General features: G+C 43.1%; 1 protein-coding gene across 63 annotated transcripts in view; it reads right to left on the bottom strand.

The window, feature by feature from the left end:
* KANK1 (KN motif and ankyrin repeat domains 1) overlaps positions 1-24,274 on the bottom strand; it is a 275,809-nt gene that overhangs the window by 11,146 nt on the left and 240,389 nt on the right. For 33 of the 63 annotated variants that reach the window (XM_047423041.1, XM_047423040.1, XM_047423049.1 and 30 more), the window contains 5 exons: positions 21,494-24,154; positions 4,710-4,907; positions 3,692-3,800; positions 2,341-2,580; positions 123-210 (listed from right to left, as the gene is read on the bottom strand). In XM_047423041.1, coding sequence (XP_047278997.1) covers positions 123-210; positions 2,341-2,580; positions 3,692-3,800; positions 4,710-4,907; positions 21,494-24,154 — 3,296 coding nt within the window. The remainder of the gene's footprint in view (positions 1-122; positions 211-2,340; positions 2,581-3,691; positions 3,801-4,709; positions 4,908-21,493; positions 24,155-24,274) is intronic. The other 30 variants (XM_047423060.1, XM_047423058.1, XM_047423059.1 and 27 more) reach the window with 3 other exon arrangements.

The raw sequence follows: 24,274 nt of genomic DNA, 5'->3' as shown, positions 1-24,274 counted from the left end.
TGGAAACAGTTCAGGAGAAAAGCATGCAAGCAACAGCTCGGGCAGCCTACAGCTGGCCTTGACAATGAACCCACTCATGCACTTTGTACACACTGGGGATGGTGTTTGCAGGTCAGACTCACCATATCTTTGCTGGTCAAAGCTTTGGGGTCATTTATAGTATTTTTCAGTAAGTTGCATGCAGACAACATCTTTTCACTTAATTCATACCTGAAAGGAGAAAAAACAAGTTACGATTGGTCACAAGAAGAAAATCATTTTTATTTCAACCCAAATATCTAATTTTTTTTTTGAGACAGGGTCATGCTCTGTCGCCCAGGCTGGAGTGCAGTGGCATGATCTTGGCTCACTGCAACCTCCGCCTCCTGGATTCAAGCAATCCTCCTGCCTCAGCCTCCCTAGTAGCTGGGACTACAGGTGTGCACCACCAGGCCCAGCTAATTTTTGTATTTTTAGTGGAGACGGGGTTTCACTATGTTGGCCAGGCTGGTTTTGAACTCCTGACCTCAGGTGATCCACCTGCCTCGGCCTCCCACAGTGCTGGGATTACAGGGGTGGGACACTGCGCAGCTTCAACTTTTAAAAATATATTTTTAAAAGGCAAGTGGCCCCAAGCCAGCCCAGGCAGGTCATTATGGCACAAGGTGCTTGGGCAGAGGCAGCACAGAAATCCTTAGGGGTCTAAGGGTTACGTCCACTGTGCAGAGCCAACACCTCCAGCCAGAGATTGAGGCCTTGTTTGGGAGGGTGACATTCGGCTTCACCAATTGGCCTTTATGACATTCTGGAATAACATTTAGAGATTTTTTTTTGCCATTTTTAAGTTTTTTTTTTTTTTTTTTTTTTTTTGAGACAAGGTCTCACTCTGTTGCCCAGGCTGGAGTGCAGTGGTGCAATCACGGCTCACTGTAGTTTTGCTGTCCCAGGCTCAAGCAATCTTCCTACCTCAGCTTCCCAAGTAACTGGGATTACACGTGTGTGCCACCACACCCGGCTTTGTATTTGTAGAGACAGGGTTTCACCATGTTGCCCAGGCTGGTCTCGAACTCTTGGGCTCAAGCTATCTGCCTGCCTGCCTCAGCCTCCCAAAGTATTGGCATTATGGGTGTGAGCCACTGTGCCCAACCTGTTCTAAGTTTTTAAAAAATATTTTTAATTTTAAGGGGGTTGAAGGAGACCCAAATTACTTTTTTTCTGAGACAGGGTCTTGCTCTGTCACCCAGACTGGAGTGCACTGGCTCACTGCAGCCTCAACCTCCAGGGTTCAAGTGATCCTCCCACCTTATCCTCCAGAGCAGCTGGCATGTGACACCATGCCCAGGTAATTGATATTTTTGTAGGGATGAGGTCTTACTATATTGTCCAGGCTAGTCTCAAACTCCTGTGCTCAAGCGATCCTCTTGCCTTGACTTTCCACAAATTACCATATATCCATCGTGCTGACCAGTAAACCACACATCTGAACCCACATTTGGTGACTCAAGTGTTTAACCCATATGAAAAGTAAAAAAATGACATATGGTATATAAATTACATCTCAAAGCTGTTAAAAAGCCATGTGAAACACTTGGAAATATAAACTAAAAACACTTACCTTGTTTTAATGCAGTTAAACTTTCATTTGCCAAATTAAATAGAGGTAAGTTTTCTGAAATGTTCTATTTATATTTCACATACTGAAAAACCATACTGAAGTTTCCACCTTTTCTACTCTCTATTTTATGAGCATCAAATCCTTATCTAATGGTCTTGAAAACTTACATTCTGAGGCACATATTTCAGCCAACCAGAGTGTTTTTCAGCTACTATTTATGATATACCCAAATCCATTCTTGTGGTATTCCTGATCATTCAATGTGTAACAAAATACAAACATGTAAGTGATATGCATCATCTTTACAGTATATGTGATCTTTGGCTGAGGCCTCATCCACACAATGATCCTGTAATAATGATACACCTGTATCAAGATAAATGGCTAAACATAAAATCTGAAATCTTAAAGTAGGCTGGCCACCAAAAAATTAAAATGTCTTTAAATATAAGGTAAGGTGTTCAAACAATGCAAGTTTTAGTGGATTGTGGTTCCATATGTTAAATTATATAGCAGAGTTAAGGTTTCAGAAAACAAGGGTGATTAGGTACCAGGCCATTCTACCATAAGAGATCTAAGAGTTGTAATACTCTGCACTTGTATATATTAGTATCTCAAGATGTGTATACCTCTGAGGAACAGATAAAAGCAAACATTTAATTACAAAAGCTCTGAACTGGCCAACTCTATTGCCAAAGTACATTAAATGTGGGAGGGGCAAGGGAGGGAAGGGGAATGTACCACACCTCTCTCTGATTTCCACCTTCTCAGGTTCACATTCTTGAACCTGCATTTCATCTTCCACCCTGGCAGACTTCAAACCTTCAATATTAACTGCATGGTGCCCTTCTGCCATTCCCCGAGTGTCTTCATCCTCCTCCTCCTCCTCTTCTTCAAGAGGATACTCAATGACATCACACTCGTCATCTGACTCGGAAGAAGAGCTTTCATCTGAGCTGGAATCATCACTTGAAGTTGTTTCATACCTAGGTGGCAATTGGGATTTCAGGAGATGCAAGGTGTGCTCACGAAGACCCAGTGATAGAAATTTCTATGAAGGGATTTGCTAATTGACTCCAGAAATTTCACTAGTGGTTTTAGATCCTGCACTTAGAAGTTCAAAGTAAGGTCTATTTAAATGCCTGGTGGTTTTGAATGGACTCTAACTTAAACTGGTTATCGGTATCATATAACCAATTGGTATCATGTAACACTTGTTAAAGAAAATAATGGCATCTCCGGCTTAGCATAAATCATGAGAAAACATACTTTATGGAAAACAGATCGGTAGGTGCTTTTTGTCCCCCCCCCACCCCATGTCTTCCTATTTCATCCTATTAATTCTCCCAGTATCAAGGGGAATAGATTACATAGGCAATCGATAGTTTTTCTGGTGTATGCCCTCCAAAATCTCCTGGCCATTATCACTGAATAAAACTTCTAGATTTGGAAAACAGGCACCATAAGGTTAAACCCTAATGGTACACTTTGTATTATTTCTTTCTTGTGGGGGCCATGTATCAATTCATTGATTTGATTCAATTGTAGGACAACAAAGGGGCTTAACTATGTACGTGGGCCAATGCAAAGAGAAGGAACAAACAATAACCATTCTATTTAGAAAGCAAACTGGTGATGTGGTTATCAATTGTGAAAGGCCCTACAATTTGGGTCGTAAACATGGAGAGCTAAGCAAAAGGACCCATTTTGAAGGAAAAGATGACGATCGTTGGCCCAGAGAGTGATGCTCTCAGTCTTTTTCTGCTCAATTGTGAGTTCTCGTATAGGTAAGTACAAGTTGTCCAACACAGTGCAGGAACCCTGCTGCGTTCGCTGAAGACTATTTCTTTCAGATCAGAGGTGAGGAGATGTAAACCGCTCAGCTTCATCAGGTATCCTTAAGAGAGTGACAAATCCTTAAAGACAGCACCAGAGGAGGAAAGCAAAGCCCAAATGCACCTTTCTGCCTTTCTGAGGAGGGAATCTTTCATCACTGCGCTGTGGCCGCTTCCCCGACTAGGCGCCTTGAAATGTGACTTAGGCAGGAGGTAAAGGAGACTGACAGCATTAGCCTCTAGAACCACCATCTTTCCTTACCCTCCATTAATGCCAACAAACTGAAGATTCTTTTTTGCGCCATTTGAATCTTTGTTACCATCTTTCTTCTTCATGATGGACTTCAGTGTACTTTCATTGTTTGTACATGCTGTGAAAAAGTCAAGGCAATAAAAATGAAAACTCACACCCATACATGTTAAATGATCTTTTTTCCTGTACAGTTCTTTTCTCATGCATGTAAATGTAGATCTTGGCATATATATGTGAGAAGTTTCCACAAAATTCAATGGGAAAGTGTGTGCATGCAAAGAAAATAATTCAAAGTTCCATTAATAACATTCTTCACATGGGAAAAAAATCAATTAGTCCTTCCAGACATAACAAAGCCAGTGAAAACTGACATTTGTATCCGGCTTTACTGCTTATAAAGTGATGTCGTGTCTCACGAGCCTCAAGGACCATTTACGTACTAAACAGGGATTATTATTCTTCTTCAGCTGAGATAACCTGAAAAAACTTATGCCTGCCAGAACGTGAATAAAATGCTATTTAAAATATTTCATAATTTGTAATATCAGGTAAGCTTTCTTGTACAGCTTTCTTTCGTAATTTTGAGACAGGGCCTCTTTCTGTCACCCAGGCTGGAGTGCAGTGGCGTGATCTCAGCTCACTGCAACCTCCACCTCCCAGGTTCAAGTGATTCTCCCACCTCAGCCGCCGGAGTAGCTGGGACTACAGGTGTGCACCACCATGCCTGGCTAATTTTTGTATTTTTTAGTAGAGATGGGGTTTCACCATGTTGGCCAGGCTGGTCTCGAACTCCTGGCCTCAAATGATCTGCCTGCCTTGGCCTCCCAAAGTGCTGGGATCACAGGTGTGAGCCACCATGCCCGGCCTCTTTGGTAACCTTATTTAAAGATATTCTGGGCCTACCTTCCAAATAACGATATTAACTTTCTTCCAGGTCAATTTAAAAGGTACATTGACATTAAATTGGAATGCTGGCAATGCTGGCCCTAGAATCCTGATGCCAATGACTGTGAGTGAGAAAAGTTACCATAGAGGCCAGCGGCGATCTGGTCGTCTGTCAGGTTCACTGGAGACAGCGTACCTTCCTGAGTGGGGAAGGCATCCAGGCTGCTGATTGGCTTTCCTTCTGAGGTCCCCACTTCTTGCTCAGGCTGGGATGTCTGGGAGCTTAAGGGACTTCCTGACTGAAGGCCCCCACACTTACAGGTATATCCCAAATAATTGCCTATCAGGAAAAAGAAAGGTACAGAGTGTGTGATGCTAGGACTGAAAAAGCAGGCTTCAACAAAAACAATTCTTGCCACTCATAATTTAAAATGGGACTATTATCCCAGCCACCAAAACTCAGAAGCCCCTTTGACGCTCCAGCTTTCCTGATTTCATTAGCGTAGGCAGACTGCCGGGCCTCGTCATTCTAACTCCACAGCACCTCTTCTTTTCTCTGTTTTGGCTGCTACCGTCATAGCCTTGGTTTCTAGTCATGGAAGTAGCATTTTACTGCCCCTCTTCCATTACTACTTCCACTCTGGCACAATGCTTCAGAGCATTACTCCCAGCCAGCTCCAATGCCATCATTATTCCAGCTAAAACAAAATGTGACAACGCCTAAAAAGCACCCACTGCTCAGGAAATGTAGTCCACACTGCAGAGCCAGAGATTCTAAACTATCCATAACCTGGTACTGGCTGACCCCCGCAACTTCATTTCCCACTCCTCCTGTCGTCCTTACTGGGACAGGGACTGCATCCCATTAAGTGCCAGGACTCGCTGTATAGAGATGCGGGTCTCTTGTTTCCTGGCAGCATGCCTCAGCTTATGCCCTTCTACTACCTGGAATACCTTTCTTCCCCCATCTTCACACAGCCGCACCCTCCCATCACTGCCTCTTCAGACCCTTCCCTGATCTCCTTCACTAACAATGTTCTTGCCCTGAACTCTCACAGCCCATCTTTTGTACCTTCTCCTGGGGATCTGTGATACAATGTACAAGATGACTTGTATGATGGTTTTAGACTCCCTTGTAGATGGTAAATATTTTGAGGGCATCAAACAGTTCTGATCAACTTTCTCTTAACAAATCTACTAGAGTGCTTTTGTATATGTTAGCCACTTAAAATCTGTATACTGACCGAAGCAATTTGGATTAAATAATATTTTGTAATTAATGTATACAGATATGTCAATGAAAAGAGTCAAACTCTGTAAAAAAGAGGTTTACTCTGAGCCAAGTATGAATGACCAAGGCCAAAAGCACAATCTCACGAGGTCCTGACAACATGTGCCCAAGGTGGCTGGGTTACAGCTTAATTTTATACATTTTAGTGGACTAGAAGTTACAGGCAAACACAAATCAATGCATGTAAGGTATACACTAGTTTAGAAAGGTGGAAGAACTCAAATAAGGGTGGGCTTCCAGGTCTTCGGTAGATTCAAAGATACTCTGATTGGCAAATGGTTGAAAAAGTTAACTTATTATCTAAAGGCCTGCAATCAACAGAAAGGAGTGTCTGGGTTAAGATAAGGGGTTGTGAAGACCAAGGTTCTTATTATGTAGATGAAGCCTCCAGGTAGCAGGCTTCATCTACATAGATGGTAAACGTCACTTTTCAGACCTCTATATAGATGGTAAATGTCTCTTTTCAGACCTAAATAGGTACCAGACTCTGAATCTCTCCTGGATCAGGAAAAGGCCTGGACAGGTAAGGGGATTCACTACATAATGTAGATATTCCCCACAAGAGACAGCCTTGCAGGGCCATTTCAATATACATCGAAGAGGCCGGGAGCAGTGGCTCATGCCTGTTAACCCCAGCACTTTGGGAGGCCAAGGCAGGTGGATCACCTGAGGTCAAGAGTCCGAGACCAGCCTGGTCAACACGGTGAAACCCCGTCTCTACTAAAAATACAAAAATTAGCCACGCATGGTGGGGGGTGCCTGTAGTCCCAGCTACTTGGGAGGCTGAGGCAGGAGAATGGCTCGAACCCGGAGGTGGAGGTTGTAGTGCCTAGATCGTGCCATTGCACTCCAGCCTGGGTGACAGAGTGACAGAGGGAGACTCCATCTCAAGAAAACAAAAGAAACAAAACAAAAAAAGACAAAATACATCGAAGAAATATATTTTAGGGTAAAATACTTCATTTTCTTTTAGGGTCTGCTGTCATGTGATGCTATAGGAGAGTCAGGTTGGAATTTGTTATCTTATTGGTATAAAGAGTCTGTTTGTCACTCCTAAGATCTCTGTTTTAATGTTAATGCTGGTCAGTTGTGCCTGAATTCCAAAGGGAGGAGGGTATAATGAGGCATGTTTGACACTTCCTTCCCATCATGGCCTGAACTAGTTTTTCAGGTTTACTATGGAATCCCCTGGCTGACAGGAGGGATCTATTCCGTTGGTTAGGGGGCTTAGAATTTTATTTTTGGTTTACAGATATATTGTAGAATTTTCAATGTGGGTGATGTGGAAAAATGTTTGTAATATATGGTTAATTGAAAAAAGCAGATAATAAAATTCCATGTATTGTGTGATCCTATTAAAATACATTACCACACACACACATACACACACACACACACACACACACACACACACACACATGAAAAGTTATCTGACTCTGTGCTAAATGAAACAGCTATGGTAGTTTTAATTTTTCCCTGGATTAGCCTGGGCGTGGTGGCTCATGCCTGTAATTCCAGCACTTTGGGAGGCTGAGGCAGGTAGATTACTTGAGGTCAGGAGTTTGAGACCAGCCTGGCCAACATGGTGAAACTCCATCTCTACAAAAATACAAAAATTAGCTGGGCATGGTGGTGAGTGCCTGTAATCCAGAGCTGCTCGGGAGGCTGAGGTAGGAGAATCACTTGAACCCGGGAGGCAGAGGTTGCAGTGAGCCAAGATCGTCCCACTGCACTCCAGCCTGGGCGGCAGAGCGAGACTCTAATAAAAAAAAAAAAATTTCCTTGGATTTGCCATTTTTTCTATAGTGAATATGGGTTAACTGTGTTCAAAATCACTTTTAAAAATGAAAAATTATTTCACTTAATTGTCTAAAAGTTTTATCCTAAGGATGTACAAAAAGACACAGAAGGCTATTGTTTCCATGTTTAAAACAGTAAAAAGAGGCAGACAGTCTGCTTGTAAGAAACAACCATATAAGCACTGGTATATTTATACAGAGGAATTCTATATGGCCATTACAAATCTTGATATAGGAGAATATTAACATAGATGAGCATGATGTGTATTAAAAATAGGTCATACAATAATACGGAGAAAATAAACCTACTTTGGTAAATAATTTTTTATTTTAATTGAGAGAGTGTCTTGTCTTGTGCTGTTGCCCAGGCTGGAGTGCAGTGGAGCAATCCTGGCTCACTGCAACCTCTGCCTTCTTGGTTCAAGAGATTCTTGTGCCTCAGCCTCCCGAGTAGCTGGGATTATGGGCACCTGCCACCATGCCTGGCTAATTTTTGTATTGTTAGTAGAGACGGGGTTTTACCATGTTGGCCAGGCTGGTCTTGAACTTGTGACCTCAGGAAATCTGCCCGCCTTGACCTCCCAAAGCGTTGGGATTATAGGCATGAGCCACCACGCCTGGCCTTATTTTTAATTTTTGTCTCCGTTCAAGTTTTCTTCTTTCGAGACAGAGTCTTACTCTGTTGCTAGGCTACAGTGCAGTGGTGCGATCTTGGCTCACTGCAACCTGCGCCTTCCCGGTTTAAGCGATTCTCCTGCCTCAGCCTCCCGAGTAGCTGGGGCTACAGGCAAGTGCCACCATGCCTAGCTAATTTTTGTATTTTTAGTAGAGACTCGGTTTCACCATGTTGGCCAGGTTGGACTCGAACTCCTGACCTCAGGTGATCCACCCGCCTCAGCCTCCCAAAGTGCTGGGGTTAGAGGCGTGAGCAACCGTGCCTGGCCTCTCAGTTCAAGTTTAACGGAAACTAGAAAAGATCAATGGGCTTATTCCCTCTAATGATACATCACACAAATCAGCGGCCTGCCCCACAACACAGCTCAGGCCATTCCCACCAAGAGAAGAAAGGCTGGCCTCTCCACCCCTTGTAGGAAAGGCCTGCCCTAGCACACCAGAATTGATCTGAATCTGAAGTCTTTTGTTTGACTCATGGGAAAAAAAAATACAAAAGAGGTTTTGTTCTCATTGCTGCCTACTGGCATTAGTAAATAATTATATTTACATATGTATGTATTAGAAAAATCATGGAAGGATATACAGGAAACCCATTTAACACTGCTTTGCTAAGGCTAAAGAGTCACAGGCTACTATAACTTTTTTCTTTTTGTCTCTAGTATTTCCTAAATTATACTTTATAAATTACTAACAAAAATTAAACATTTAAATCTACTCACAATGTCAGGTGATCACAACTTTATCCCTTTCAAAGTAAAGCTCTGAAATCTCTTAGATTCTTAGAAGAAAAGCAGCTTAAGTGTTGATTGTATTTTGAGGCAATATGAAGAAAAAGAACGAATAACAAGCCCTAAAACTGCTCTGAGTTCTATTCTTCATAAGAATCACCTGTGACATTGGCTAAAATGCAGATTCCCAGGAACATGCTGCCAGGAGATCATTCTGCAGTTCTGGGATGGGGGCCAAGTGATGGCATTTCTGACATTCCCCACCACCTACAAGAATCACTGATGCAGGTGGTCTACTTTGACTGGTTTAAAACAATGACGCTATAGTAAAAGAGTGAGAGCTGGCAAAAAATTCAATGTAAGGCATTAGAGATCATCTAAATTTTTTTTTTTTTTTTTTTGAGACAGAGTCTTGCTCTGTCACCCAGGCTGGAGTGAGGGCTGTGGCGTGATCTCAGTTCACTGCAACCTCCGCCTCCCGGGTTCAAGCGATTCTCCTGCCTCAGCCTCCCAAGTAGCTGGGGCTACAGGTGTGCACAACCATGCCTGGCTAATTTTTGTATTTTTAGTAGAGACTGAGTTTTACCATGTTGGTTAGCCTGGCCTCAAACTCCTGACCTCAAGGGATATCACCTAATTTTTAATTCCAGACTTCCAGCTAAGGATTCTGAAGGCCAGCTAGGTTCAGGACTTGCCCCAGGCCACAGAGCTGAACGAGAACTCACATTTCCTAATTCGGTGAACAGTCCCCTGTCCCCAAATCAACAGCACAATGCTTTCTCCTTTAGCTGTGGGACATGGGGGCTACCTGGACGATTCCTTTACAACTCCAACTTCCTCCTCAACACACATACACACAATACTGAATTCAGCGGTCCAAACAACGTTTCACACTATGTGACTTGATGTCCCCTAACTGCAAATATGAAATGCCTAATGTGCCTTTGACTTATTTTAAGCAAAGTAGATAAAGCAGGGCATTTATCTTCATTTTTCCTTCTCCAAGTCCATTCATCATTACTTAGAAAATATTGCAGCGGCCTCCAAAAAGTCTCACTAGTTAATCACTGAATGCCAGAACACTCTTGTTTTTTTTGAGATTGAGTCTCGCTCTGTCGCCCAGCCTGGAATGCAGTGGCGCGATCTCTGCTCACTGCAACCTCCACCTCCCGGGTTCAAGTGATTCTCCTGCTTCAGCCTCCTGAGTAGCTGGGATTACAAGTGCCCGCCACCACGCCCAGCTGTTTTTTGTATTTTTAGTAGAGACGGGATTTTACTATGTTGGCTAGGCTGGTCACGAACTCCTGACCTCAAGTGATCCACCTACCTACCTCGGCCTCCCAAAGTTCTGGGATTACAGGTGTGAGCCACCGTGCCTGGCCGCCAGAACACTCTTTGTAGAGAAATGCTTGTACGAAGCATTTTCCTCTTCAATAACCAACAATGACTTTTTAAATGCAAATACATGATAGTTTTGACTATTATTGAAACCATAAAACAGATACAAAAGTAGATAATAGTTTAATAAACTCCTGTCTTCCCATTACTAGCTTCAACAATGATTAGAAAACATCTGGTTTCCCTGATAACTCCCTCTGCCCACTCACACTGGATTATTTTGAAGCAACAGCTAGAGATTCAATCATTTTCATCCATAAATATTTCAGTATATGTCCCTAAAAGAACTCTAAAAAATGCAAACCATTGAGGCTAAAACTATCAAATCTTAAAAAAAGATAAGTATGATTATCACATAATCCAGTCAGTATTCAAATTTCTCCAATAGTCTTTTTTTTTGATATGGCATCTCACTCTGTCACCCAGGCTGGAGTGCAGTGGCGTGATCTCTGCTCACCGCAACCTGTCTCCCAGGCTTAATCAATCCTCCCACCTCAGCCCCCCAAATAGCTGGGACCACAGACGTACAAAACCACGCCTGGCTTCTTTTTTTTTTTTTTTCGTATTTTTAATAGAGATGGGTTTCACTATGTTGCCCAGGCTAGTCTCGAACTGCTGGGTTCAAGCTATCCACCCACCTTGGCCTCTGAAAGTACTGGAATTACAGGCATGAGCTACTGTGCCCAATCTCCAATAGTCTCTAAAAAATTTCTTTAATAGGGTGTTTGCATCAGAATTCCAGTCATGTATTTCCATTGGTTGCTATTATTTTAAAGTCTTTTAATCCATAGGTTCTCTTTGTTTAAATACAACTTAAAATTTTTAAAAAATTCAAACACAATTTATAGACAATAAAATGCACAGAATGAATTACAGACAGGGTCTCACACTGTCACCCAGGCTAGAGTGCAATGGAATGTGATCATAGCTAACTGTAGCCTTGAACTCCTGGGCTCAAGCAATCCTCCCACCTTGGCCTTTGGAGTAGCTAGGACACAGGACCCAGGTGCTTGTGATCATGCCCCACGAAAATGCACTGATTTTAAGTGTAAGTCGGATGGAATTTGGTAGATGTATACGCCTGTGTAACCACCTCTGTAACAGAGATACAGAACATTTCTAACAACCTGGTAAGCCTTTCCTCCCACCCCTTCCAGATAGTGTCACCCAGGAATACCAGGTGCTATAATTTTTCTCACCACAGCTTACTTTTGTAAACTAGGGCTTTTTAAAGCTTCTCCAATCAAGGTCCACCTCCTCCTGCAGGCATCCAAGGGTCAAGGTGGAAGGTTTCATCTTGCCTGCGGGAACTTTACCTCTCAGCTACTCCTCCACTCTGTCCATTCTGTTCAGAGTGGTCCTGTGACTTAATTACTCCAACTCTGTGAGTAGGGAGTAATTAGATCATCCTACAGGTCTGGAAATTCGCCATCCTTCACCAGCTGAATTCGACCCATACTCTTTTCAAGGCTTGGCCCAAATTCTATCTTCTCTAGTCTTTTTTCTATGATACCATTCCAACCATTCCACAGAGATGTCTTTTTTCCCCATCATTGTCCTGTAGCACTTACGGTCCAGATTCAAATATGCCCTGTCTCCTCAATGAGATGGTCAGCATCTTGAGTTCCTCCCTGCTACATTCTTATTTGGTGTCCTGTCCAGTGCTTAGAACAGTGCGGGACCATTGAGAGCCTTTAATAAGTGTCCATGTAATTCAACCAAAGGTCATGAGGATTCTACTGAGGCTTAACTGGTAAGGAAAAGAACCTCATTAAATTCCAAACTGGCTCTCCTTTGTCAAGTCAGAGGGAATTGGTCACCTATATTGCCAGAAAATGTTCTTTGGATGGTGTTGAAACTCTGGCTGGTCTTGAGTGGCCTATAAACAATTCTCTGAACTTGATAAGGACCCACTTGTAGTTGTAGGCACCGCATGCACCAATGTAAGACTGACAAATGACTGCTGTGTTTGAGCAAAACGAAGAAAACGTGCAGCCAGGAAAGCCAAAGAACAAAGAGGCCAACAAACAAAATTCAGTCGTTTCAACCCTAGCTACCCTTTAGAATCACCTGAATCGAGGGTGAGACTTTAAAAAATGTAGATACAATGATCTGGATGGGTCCAGATATGAGAGAGAGAGAGCAAGAGAGGCAGACAGACAGAGAGACAGAGAGAGAGAGAGAGAATGAACACTTATTTGCAGTTGAAGTGAAACTCCATCTCAAAAAAATAAAATAAATAAAATAGAATTCAGGGCCCGTCCATAATTCTAACCTTGTGTGCTTTCATTAGTTTTACAAAGGCAGTTTAGTCTTGGGAAGGGCTATTATCATCCTTGCTTTAAGGTTAAATTATAAACCAAATTCTACCCACAGTTAGCTTGGCCTGTGCCTAGGAATGAACAAGGACAGCTTGGAGGTCAGAAGTAAGACGGAGTCAGCTATGTCAGGTTTCTTTTACTGTCATGATTTTGGAAAGGCAGTTTCAATGTCCCCACCCCCTTGGGTTTCGGTACACCTCAATCCTGAGGTGTGAGCTATGGAGATGGGAAAGGCTAATGACAGCTCTAATTTCTTCTTGCTTATGGAACATTGTTGGGGAAGGGGTTGCCCCCAAGGTAAGAGGAGTGAAACCGTCTTCAAGTTGACCGTATGCCTTCACTGGTGTCTGGTTGGGGTCATTCTTATCCACAGTTTTAGTACAGCACATAAGTGAACAGCAGACTGTAAGATTAATAGTAAGCCCTACCACAAGAAGTGAAAGTCCTAGCTTCAGGAGTCCCTGTAGAACCAACCTGAAGCCTTGAGGGACCCAGGTAAATGACCCTGAGAACCAATCAATTATTGAGTTATCAGCAGATGACCTTATCCAAAAAAGTGGACAAAGCTGGAGTCAATAAAAGGGGTACTATAGTTTTTCTGAAACATAATTTTTCTCTCTCTGGTTTTCTATTTCTACCAAAGACCAATCATAGTGGGACCAATTTATTTCCAAAATAAGTTTTAGTCTTATTATGCTTGGGCTAATTATTTGCATAAAGTGCAGCAAGAGTAAGTATTTGCCATATGGCCCCCCCTTTTTCTTTTACATTGACTTTGCTGACATTTTTCATAAGGAATCTCAAATTAGACCTTTTACAAACCTCTTGAGCCCAGCCAAGAATTTATTTGTGCCTGCAGATACCTATATAAATTAGGTGACTTCCTCTTTTCCCGAGGTCCCAAAATAACGTGGGGCTCCTGAGCTTGTCAGAAAGTGACATTCTTTACTTACCACAGGTTAGGAACCCTGTAAAGGACAAGGTATGAGGGAGGTCAGTTTTTCCAAGGGGCTTCCATTGGCTCTAAAGATCAACTTCAGTTCCCCAAAGCACTCTGTAAACATGCCATTCCAGTCAAAGCCTTGGTAATACAACTAGTGTCTCCAATTGCAGGCATCAGTATTTTCAAACTTCTCCCTAGGTGATTCTATTGTGCTGCCAGGATTGAGATCCACTGAATTAAATTAACCAATATAAAAGCTGACTACTGAAATTAAGAATTTAGACTCCCCTCTAGTTTCAACCCATCAACTTGGATCCATGTGAATTTTTAGGAACTGCTGGTGGTTTAATTAACAGCCCTGGGCCACTAATGGTAGATGTTCATACTAAACAGAAAGTAAATGCTCCCTGAACAATAGGGATAAAAACAGGAGTAATTACAGGCTGGGAGTGGCTCACACCTGTAATCCCAGTACTTTGAGGGGCTGAGGCTGGAGGATGGTTTGAGGCTGGGAGATTGAGACTGCATTCCAACCTGGGTGACAGAATGAAACCCCGTCTCTGAGGAAAAACAAAAAACAGGCTGGGTGCATTGGCTTACGCCTGTAATCCCAGCACTTAGTGAGGCTGAGGTAGGTTAATTGCTTGAGCCTGGGAGTTGCAGATCAGCCTGAGCAACATAGTGAGACCCCCCTCTCTAACAAACAGAACACAACAAAACAAAAAACAGCTGGGCATGGTGGTAAGTGTCTGTAGTCCTAGCTATTGGGAGGTTCACGTGTGAGGACAGCTTGAGCTTGGCAGTTAGGGGCTATGGTGAGCTATGATTGCACCACTGCACTCCAGCCTGGAAGACAGAGTGAGACCTTGTCTCAACAAAACAAAACGACAGCAACATGTGGAGTAATTACAAAACACCTTCAGAATTCTGGCACTCTGGTCTAGATGCTCAAAATTCTCACCAGGTGGCAACGGTTTTCACAGGCACAACTGGGAAGTTAATGGACAGCAGAGTGGGCAACTGTGAAGTCTTCTATCATTAACTCAAACTTATAACAGCCATAAACACCAATAAAGCATGAGCCTCATTTTACGACTTGGTCAGATTAGTGATCACTAAAGGACAACAAGTGACAGAAATCTCAGTGTCCTGGAAAATAAGAGGAACACCTTTGATGCATTAATTATCATTCCGAAGTGCACTTAGCTTTTATAATTATCCATATATTAAATTCTAAGGCAAATGAGATGACTATAATGAAAAACAAGCCACTTAAAATGAAAACTTTATGTCCTTGACATAAAGGAATGTTAAAAGCAAACTGTTTTACAAGAAAAATAATTCAGTGAAACTAGAGCTGGAAGGTGGGAGGATCACTTGAGCCCTGAGCCCAGAAGTTGGGGGCTGCAGTGGCGTGAGCCCGGATCATGCCACTGCACTCTAGTCTGGGTGACAAAGCAAGACCCCATCTCTTAAAAAAAGAAAAAAAAAATCACCCAAAACTAGAGCTGAATGGGTTTTAAAGAGATCAATTCTCCAGTCTTCTGTGTAACATTTATCTGTCCAGAATGGGTATTAGTTATTGGTATATAGCCATGGGTTTCCAAATTTGTTAGAAAATCAATTTAAAAAAATATATTAAAATGGATTTTAAAAGTTGCTCTGTTCACCTATTCCAACTGTTCTGGTATGCTGATCTACATTTGTATTGATAGTGCCAAGAACTTTCTGAAAACACAAAAAAGAAGAGTGTAGCCAGCTAACTAACCATGTAGCTGTGCCACATTTTCAGCTTGACATTCTGATTTAATTTTTAAAGAACATCTAAACTTACTCATTGAGAACAGGTAGGACTGAAATTTCCAATTCATTATGGAGTCCTTTCAAATATTTAGGTTACTTTCCCAAAGTATGACTAAAAATTCAAAGGGATCTGAAATAATGTTTGTTTTTAAGAAAAAGGGCTTGAGGCCGGGCGCGCTGGCTCACGCCTGTAATCCCAGCACTTTGGGAGGCCGAGGTGGGTGGATCATGAGGTTAGAAGATCGAGACCAGCCTGGCCAACAAGGTTAAACCCCGTCTCTACTAAAAATAATAATAAAAAAAAATTTAGCCGGGCCTGGTGGCGTGTGCCTGTAGTCCCAGCTATTCAGGAGGCTGAGGCAGGACAATCACTTGAACCCAGGAGGTGAAGGTTGCGATGAGCTGAGATTGCACCACTGCACTCCAGCCTGGGTGACAGAGTGTGACTGTGTCTCAAAAAAAAAAAAAAAAAAAAAAAAGGGCTCGAGCATGAATTCACTCTTTAAGCCCAAATGATGGTTTGGGGAACAGGCAGTAGAGATTATTCATGAAGGACCATCTTCTTTTTTGGTACATACTACTTTGTGAGGAAAAGCATGTAGCTTTGATAGAGGAGAAAGGACAAATATGTTGTTTCTACGCTCTCCTCTCAGACCTCAGCCTGAATGCTAATACATGTGTGGTCACCAACATAAACAGTTAACTCACACTTGTACAGAATAATCCTGCTGAAGGGACTGTAGGAGAAAAACTAATCTCACCCTATTTATTTGACACAGGAGGCCATGGAAGTCCACAATCTCCCTTTCTAAAATGATACAGTGGCCTGGCATGGTGGCTCACACCTGTAATCCCAATAATTTGGGAGGCTGAGGCAGGCGAATTGCTTGAGCCCAAAAGTTCAAGACCAGCCTGGGCAACATGGGGAGACCTTGTCTCTAAAAATACAAAAATTAGCCAGGTATGGTGGCATGCACCTGTAGTCCCAGCAACTTGGGAAGCTGAAGAGGGAGGATGGTTAGAGCTCGGGAAGTTCAGGCTACAGCAAGCTGTGATCATGCCACTGCACTCTAGCCTGGGTGACAGAGTGAGACCCTGTCTTAAGAGTAAAAAAAAAAAAAAAAAAAAAAAAAAGACACAGCAAGTTACCTACACAGCCAGTATGAGAGGTCAGCTCTTCTGACTTCTAGGCCTTCCACTACCTACATCATATTTTTATATCTGCAGGGTCCCAGAAACACTTGGATTGCATTGTTTTGGTGCTTTTGAGCATTAAAAGAAAGTGATTAAGAAGCCAAGTGCTAAGACAGGTAAATGATATATTATTTGAACGAGGAGAAAACTACCTAGAAACGTATTTTGTAATGACTACTTTTGCTTTGGCTCAGATCTCTTGTCTACAACTTACTTTCATAGTTATGGGAATGACTTCGAGTTCATTAACTTTTGATGAACTAAGATAACTAAGAGTATAAATACGGAAGCTGATTTTAAAAAGCAGGTCTTTTCAGTATGAGAGATGAATGTTCTATAAATCATGGGGCAGGCAGTTAAATTCCACTGTTATAGTTTTGTTTGTATTTGCTCAGAGACAGTTATATATTTTTAGAGTATCTGTAAGTCATTTATCTGGAATTTTCTCTCTCCTCTTCCCTCTCTAGAAGAAAATAGTAATTAAAAAAAGAAAACACTAATCTATGCCTCAAACGAAAACAATCCAACTGATTTACAGGAAGAATAAACTTTTTTTTACCAACATTTTTGTTATAACAGAAACTCATTTCCTCTTAACTTTTTTATTTTATAAAAGAAAATATTAAATGCATTAAACTCATACTATCAGGAATTAAAAAATACAGAACACCTCTGGTCACTATCAGGTTCCAATTCCATCAAAACCAAGACATTGTCTCTCAAATCCTAGAAAAATGTTCGTGACCTTTTAGGTGAAAAAACAAAGAGGCGGACTATGTATGATTCAAATTTTATTACAAAAATATATGTTTCTAAAATACAGACGTGCAAGCATGGACATCTGTAAATACCAAACACACGCGGGCTACCACAGGAGTGTGCCAGGGAGGCTTTAACTCTTTTATTATATGCTCTTCTGAACTTTTAATTTCTTTTTCCTTTTTCTTTTCTTTTTTTGAGACAGGGTCTCACTCTGTCACCCAGGCTAGAGTGGGTGACAATCATGGCTCACTGCAGCCTCCACCTCTAGGGCGCCGGTGATCTTCCCACCTCAGCCTCCTGAGTAGCTGGGACTACGGGCATCTGCCATCACGCCTGGCAAATTTTTGTATTTTTAGTAAAGACGGGGTTTTACCATATTGCCCAGGATGGTCTCGAACTCCTGGGCTCAAGCACTCTGCCAGCCTCAGCTCTCAGAATGCTAGAATTACAGGTGTGAGCCACCGTGCACAATCTCCCCCCACCACCCCCACCCACAGACAAGGTCTCATTCTGTCACCCAGGCTGGAGTGTAGTGGTGTGATCACAGCTCACTGCAGCCTCAAATCAACCTCCTGGGCTCAAGAGATCATCCTACCTCAGTTTCCTGAGTAGCTGAGGCTACAGGCACAGGATAACATGACCAGATAATTAAAAAAAATTTTTTTGTAGAGACAAGGTCTCACTACGTTGCCTATGCTTGAACTATTAATTTCTTATGATGCATGCTCTAGTTGTAATTTTAAGAAATTAAATATAGTGTTAAGCATTATGATGCTGCTAAAAATAACACTTTTTTGCATACTGAAAAGTGACACCATCATCAAATCTTCAACTCTAGGAGAAATGAACAGAATTCTATGGATTGGCCGCTAATATACTTCGTTTTGAGCTTTGACACGGATTCTGAATGACTCTGGACTGAACATTTATCAATTTTGTGTTTCCCATTGTTATCTATGTACTTCTTTATATTGATACAATGGTTAGTTGGAGAGGTATAATAATTGGGTAGGGGCATCACCCAGAATAATGAAGATAAAAATTTAGGCTGAAAACAAAAGACCACTTGTACAATTTCTGTGTGGCATCATTTGTTCTAGATCTACATTTCTATTTCTGGAAATACTCTAACCATAACAACAACGTCAGCCAACTTTCATTGAGCATTTATACTCTGTGCTTTACTCCTATTGACTCACTGAATCTTCATTACAACCCTGTGAAGGAACAAAGACAATCTGTTCTAGTGACAGAGAAAGAATGTGAACCCACACTGTCTAGCTTCAGAGCCCAAACTGAACAACTTCCTTAAATTAGAATACTGTGTTAGGTTCATATAAGTGATCATTTATATGCTCTTTTTGGTAGGTGTCAGACCCAAATTCCCTACTGTTTTATTTGGGGAAAACAAACATTGAGATGAATACCCTTCTATACTCCAGTATATCTTTTGGTTCAGAAATACATTCTAGACTGTGGTGAGTGCTATTCTCTATGGTATGGTGTGCACAGGAATGCACAGTGCACCCTGGGCCACCTGGATTCTCAAAGCTTCTAAGTGTTGAGCATCTCCACTTTACTATATCAAGTTGCTTTAATTTTCAGTCCACATGACAAATGCCAGATAACAAAAATGGAATACTCTGCGTTCATTTCCTAACCTAATTAATTCCTCATTAGAACGTTAAACAAAATGGTGAAAACACAAATATGATGTGCATTACAGAAATACTTAAAATTTGTTCTTGTGTGCTCTGAGAGGGGCTGCCATTGTGACTAAATAAGTGCTGTTAAAAATATTTATTGTTTTGTTCACAAGTGCTGTAGGTCTTCTGTATTTTAGCTGATTAATTAGGTGTTTGTTAGCAGGGTTGGATCTAACCAGTGATGTGTGGCATGTCAGTGTGACTGGAAATAGACCAAAAAACACTGTCACACAGCCAGACCGAACTTGCTCCCTGGTCTCCGTGCTCAGAGGGTCAGCAAATTACTTCAGGGTTACAGCTGAATATTTCTGGCAAGAATGTGAAATAGAAACCCCAGTTTGGGGAGGAGGGAGGAAGGCTGGGAACAAAATGCTTTTATAATGGATGATCCACTGTGCCATCTGTCTGGAGGTATTTAAGAATTTTATTTTGACTTCATCTGACATCATGATTTTTAAAAGGATGTCAAAGCAGACATGGCATGAGTTCTTGCAGACTCTGTTTGAGTCTACAGATCATTTTTAATCCTGTTTATTCTAAAATGACTTCCCTGTATGTTTATTAGACTCTTTGGATTCTAAAAGGCAAAAACCCCACACATGAGCTGTCATATTCATTTTTTTCTTCCACAACAAACTAACTGTCCTATAGCACAGATACTGAAAACTAACAATAATTCAGGTTTGAAAGTGGAAACCTAGGAAGATATAAAAATAATATATTTCAGTCTATTTTAATCATTGCCCCATCAGACACTAATAGAAAGACTGGAATTTCTGTGGATGGCTTAAGTCTGTATCACACATTTTCATGTAAAATTAATCTAATGCACACTCTTTCCCAGGTCACACTGATTCATGAGAATTGGAGAGCCAGAAACGGAAGCCAGGCAGTGTGGTCCTAAGCTGAGGATGATGTTATACACTGTGAGAGGCAGTGCACATGGTCACAAGCAAAATCAGGTTGGTAAGGCTCACAGGGAATTACTGTAAGCCATAAAATCATCCAGGGTGGCTTTCTGATTATTAGCTTCAATTTCAAGAAGGAAGAGTGAGCAGGAATCCCAATGAATACGAGAAAGAATAAGACAGACAAAAATGTAAGCGCCTATCGGGCCAGGTGTGGTGGCTCATGTCTGTAATCCCAGCACTTTGGGAGGCCGAGGTGGGTAGATCACCTGAGGTCAGGAGTTCAAGATCAGCCTGACCAATGTGGTGAAACCCTATCTCTACTAAAATACAAAAGTGGCTGGGCATAGTGGTGGGCACCTGTAGTCCCAGCTACTCAGGAGGTTGAGACACAAGAATCGCTTGTACCTGAGAGGCAGAGGTTGCAGTGAGCCGAGATGGCACCACCACCCTCCAGCCTGGGTGACAGAGCGACTCTGTCTCAAAAAAAAAAAAAAAAAATGAGTGGGAAAAGACTCCCTTCTCTCCAAGTTTGACCACCTCATCTCAAACAGCCCTCACCCTGACCACTACCACTCGCTGTTCCCATAACCGGAGTTAATTTCTTCACAGTATTTATCGCCTCCTGACATGTTATAGGTCTACTGTCTATATCCTGCACCCCACCTAGAATGTAAGCACCGCAGGGACAGGGGCTCTGTTCTGTTTTGTTCACACTATCTTCACAGCCTATAGCTTGAGACAGAGTAGGAATCCAAGTAATAATGATTTTTACTTCATATTTTTTTAGAAATGGAGGTCTTACTATGTTGCCCAGGCTGGTCTCAAATTTCTGGGCTCTAGCAATCCTCCCGCCTCAGCCTCTAGAGTAGCTGGGACTACGGATGTGTACCATTGCACCTGGCTCAAATTCAATAATTATTTGCTGAATTAAAGAATGAATTAATGGAGTCTCTCCTCTCATAAACGTTTTAACTGAAAACATTTTATGCCAGTATTTCAATTGCTAATATACTGGTAATAGTGGGTACAAACAGGGTAGGATTTTTTAAAGGCAGTTCTATAAATAATGAGCAAGTAAATAACTGAAAGACAAAGAATAAAGCATCTTACCAAACTAGCAGCCCCAGAAGACAACCTCTAGGCCAGCCAACACCAGTTTACTTTTCTTCCAGCGTTAGTCCTCAGCCAGAGGCCAGTGAGGCTACCAGATAATAAGCATCAGCAGAGGTGCTTATGGATTTTGATTCTTAGTTTTCATTCTACAGATTACCACTCTAAAACTTTCTCCATTTCTCCTCCAAAAATGGTTCCAGCAGTTAAAAAATAATCCTTAGCTTCTGGAAAGACATTTTCCCCCATCCTTCCTCATTCCCAGGTCCTCAGGGTACCACCTACCTGTGATTTTACCCAGACTGGTTTTCTGGAAGTCAGGGTTCCTCAGCTCTTCAGTGCTTGCAGATTTCATGACAGAGTTGATAGACGACAGGGTGCTGATGAGCTGAGAGTTGAGGGAGCCCATCTGTGAGTGAGGTTCCCCGAAAGCTTCTGCCAGTTCACTGTAGTTCTCAGCCAGCAGTGTCTGCTGTTCTGCCAGCAGCTTCTGGATACGCTCAATGTAGTGATCCAGGCCAGTCATCATTCCAAGTGGAGCTTGAGGCTGGGGGTTCTCCAGAGATTCCCCTACAGGGTCATCCCCAACCCCCACGCTCCTTCTGCTGGCTGTCAGCCCCACAGTCAACTGTGGTGGCCCACAAGCTATAGTCCTCATTTTGAGACCAACCAGATAGTTGTCGTTAATATTTATCTGCCCCACACCTGACTCTTTGGTCTTCACAGCTGATGGCCTGTCAAACCCAGAATGGCCAGAAAGCAACGTTCCAACACCAATGGACCGCGTCTTGGTGGAGGAGTTGATGTCCTTGACACGGCCTTCTCCTACAGCTACTGTCCGCGTCTCCACAGTCTGGGTGCTGGTCTGCTTGTCCAAAGTGCTTAGACAAGTGTTGGTGCAGGACTCTATGAGGGTGGCCGTCTCGGTGTTGGTGAACTGGTGCACCTGTTCCAAATCTGTGCTAGTGTCCTGGTCTGCAGTACGAGGCACTGCCATGACGGCAGCTTCCACCTGGCTAACAGCCTCAGTGTTCACGCCCCGGGAGGCGCACTCCTTTGGAGAGCAGACGGTCACGTCAACAGAACAATCTCCACAACCGATAGACCGCACTTCTTTGAGATTCAAGTTTGTCTTGAGGAGTGTGAGGTCGTTCACAGACTCCTCTGTGTTGCTGCCTGTTTCGCAGACGCTGACTTCCACACTCACACTCTTGTCACACATTTCCACAGACCTCCCAGCACATCGGTCATGCATTTCCACCCTCTCCTTAACAATCCACCAATTCATAGGCAGCTCAGGCCCTACGACTTTATTCTTACATTCAGGCTGGCAGGAGATGCCTACACTGTTTGTTTCCACGGAGGTCCCAACACACGTGTCCACCAGGTCCATGTGACTGCCGACCATTTGGTCTCTGGTCTGCACCACTGCCTCCACCACCTTACTGAAAACAAGCGGCTGGGCCATCGTGGCTTTGTCAACCTTTTTCCTCGATCCAGCAGCCTGCAGCTCTTGTTTCAGTTTAGTCATCTCCCGGTCATGGGTGGTTTCTCTAAGCTGTACTTCTAGGCGATAGATCTTTTCCTTCAAGGATTCTATGGTCTGCTGTTGCAGCTCAATTTCTTTGTCAGCTTCAGTCATCACTCCAAGCATGGCCTCTGTCACGCTGACCCCACAATTTCTCATCTCAACAAGTGTCCCTACAGCTGCATCCTTACAGGACCTGGAGCCTCTGTGGTACACGACGATGTCGTTCATGTTCTCCTCGGCACCCACAGCCACAGACCGGCACTCTCCATTCTCCCTGAGCTCTGAGGAGGCCTCACAGCTGCTGTCCTGGATCTTCTGCTCCAGGGCTTGCATGTCTGCTGTAAGTTGCCGGAACTCCTTTATCCTCTGCGTGCTCTGTTCTACGGTCTCCATTTCTTCCTCCTCATAGTCAATGTATAATTCCCCGCCACTTCTTCGGGCCCGGGAGAGCTGTTCCAGCTGGGAGGCGTTCCCCGCACTATAGGACCGCTTCCTCACACCACAGACATTGATCTGGGATGCAGCCCTTTGGTTTTTCAGCTGTGAGACCAACTGCCTTTTCTCTTCTTGCAAGACAGAGATCTTTACCTGGAGCACAGGGATGGTTCGCACCTGCTCCTCCAGCTCCTTCAGGCGTTTCAGAGCAATGGCCATCTGCTCGCGGATGTGCTGCAGGTGCATGGGGCTCACGTTGGTCACTGGGGTGGAGATCCCTGAGCTCAGGGGGCTGTGGCGGATGGAGCTCCCCATGGAGGAAGTGGTGGGAGCAGCTGGGGCATAGCTACCATAATCCCCATTACCTTGGTATCCATTCTGAAGCTGGTGCTTGGCAGGATTGTGGTTTCCAGAACCCACAAAAGAAGGGAGGGAGCTTGTGGTGCCCATGCCTCCAAAACTGGCCAGCCTGGGCCTTCTGAACTCACCCGGTGTCATCTGCATGGTGGCTCTCTCCTGTTCCAGTCTTCTCCGGGTCTCCATCAGTGTCTTGGTGACATGAAGGTTATGCTTTGGGAGTTGTGGTGAGGGAGGTGGCAGCTGTCGATTTTCTGGGATGGTAAGAAAAGGGAGTGAGGTCTCCAGAGGGGGAGGTGGCTTTGAGATTGGAGTTGATGTAACTTGACTTCTGGCTATGAGGAAGTTGGGGCACTGCTTGTTGTCATCACTGTTGGAGGATGAGAGGGATTCAGTGGAAGTCCATATACCTTGCTGACCAGATGTGGTCCTGGGTTCTGGGCATGGCACGGACGGCTTCCGCCTCTTCTGGATGTTCAGTCTTTTGATGGTATTTCCCTTCTGTATGTCATCCACATATTTGAGGAAATCTAAGTCTAGTTGATAACCATAGGGGGTCTCCACAAAGTAAGGGTCTTTCTGTTCCTTGTCCTGGTCTCCACTGAGAATATCACCTGCTTTTCCTAGAAGAGGGAGAAAAGAATATTATAATGACATGCAATACACCTAATGGTAAAAACTAATATTTGTGTTTGTTGCAGTACAGCAAGCTGGTATGATTTTAAGAGTTGACACACCTATGT

Source organism: Homo sapiens, chromosome 9 (assembly GCF_000001405.40).
Source record: "Homo sapiens chromosome 9, GRCh38.p14 Primary Assembly".
Taxonomy (NCBI): domain Eukaryota; kingdom Metazoa; phylum Chordata; class Mammalia; order Primates; family Hominidae; genus Homo; species Homo sapiens.
The sequence above is the reverse complement of the archived record's forward strand: the minus strand, read 5'-3'. Positions and strand labels throughout refer to the sequence as shown.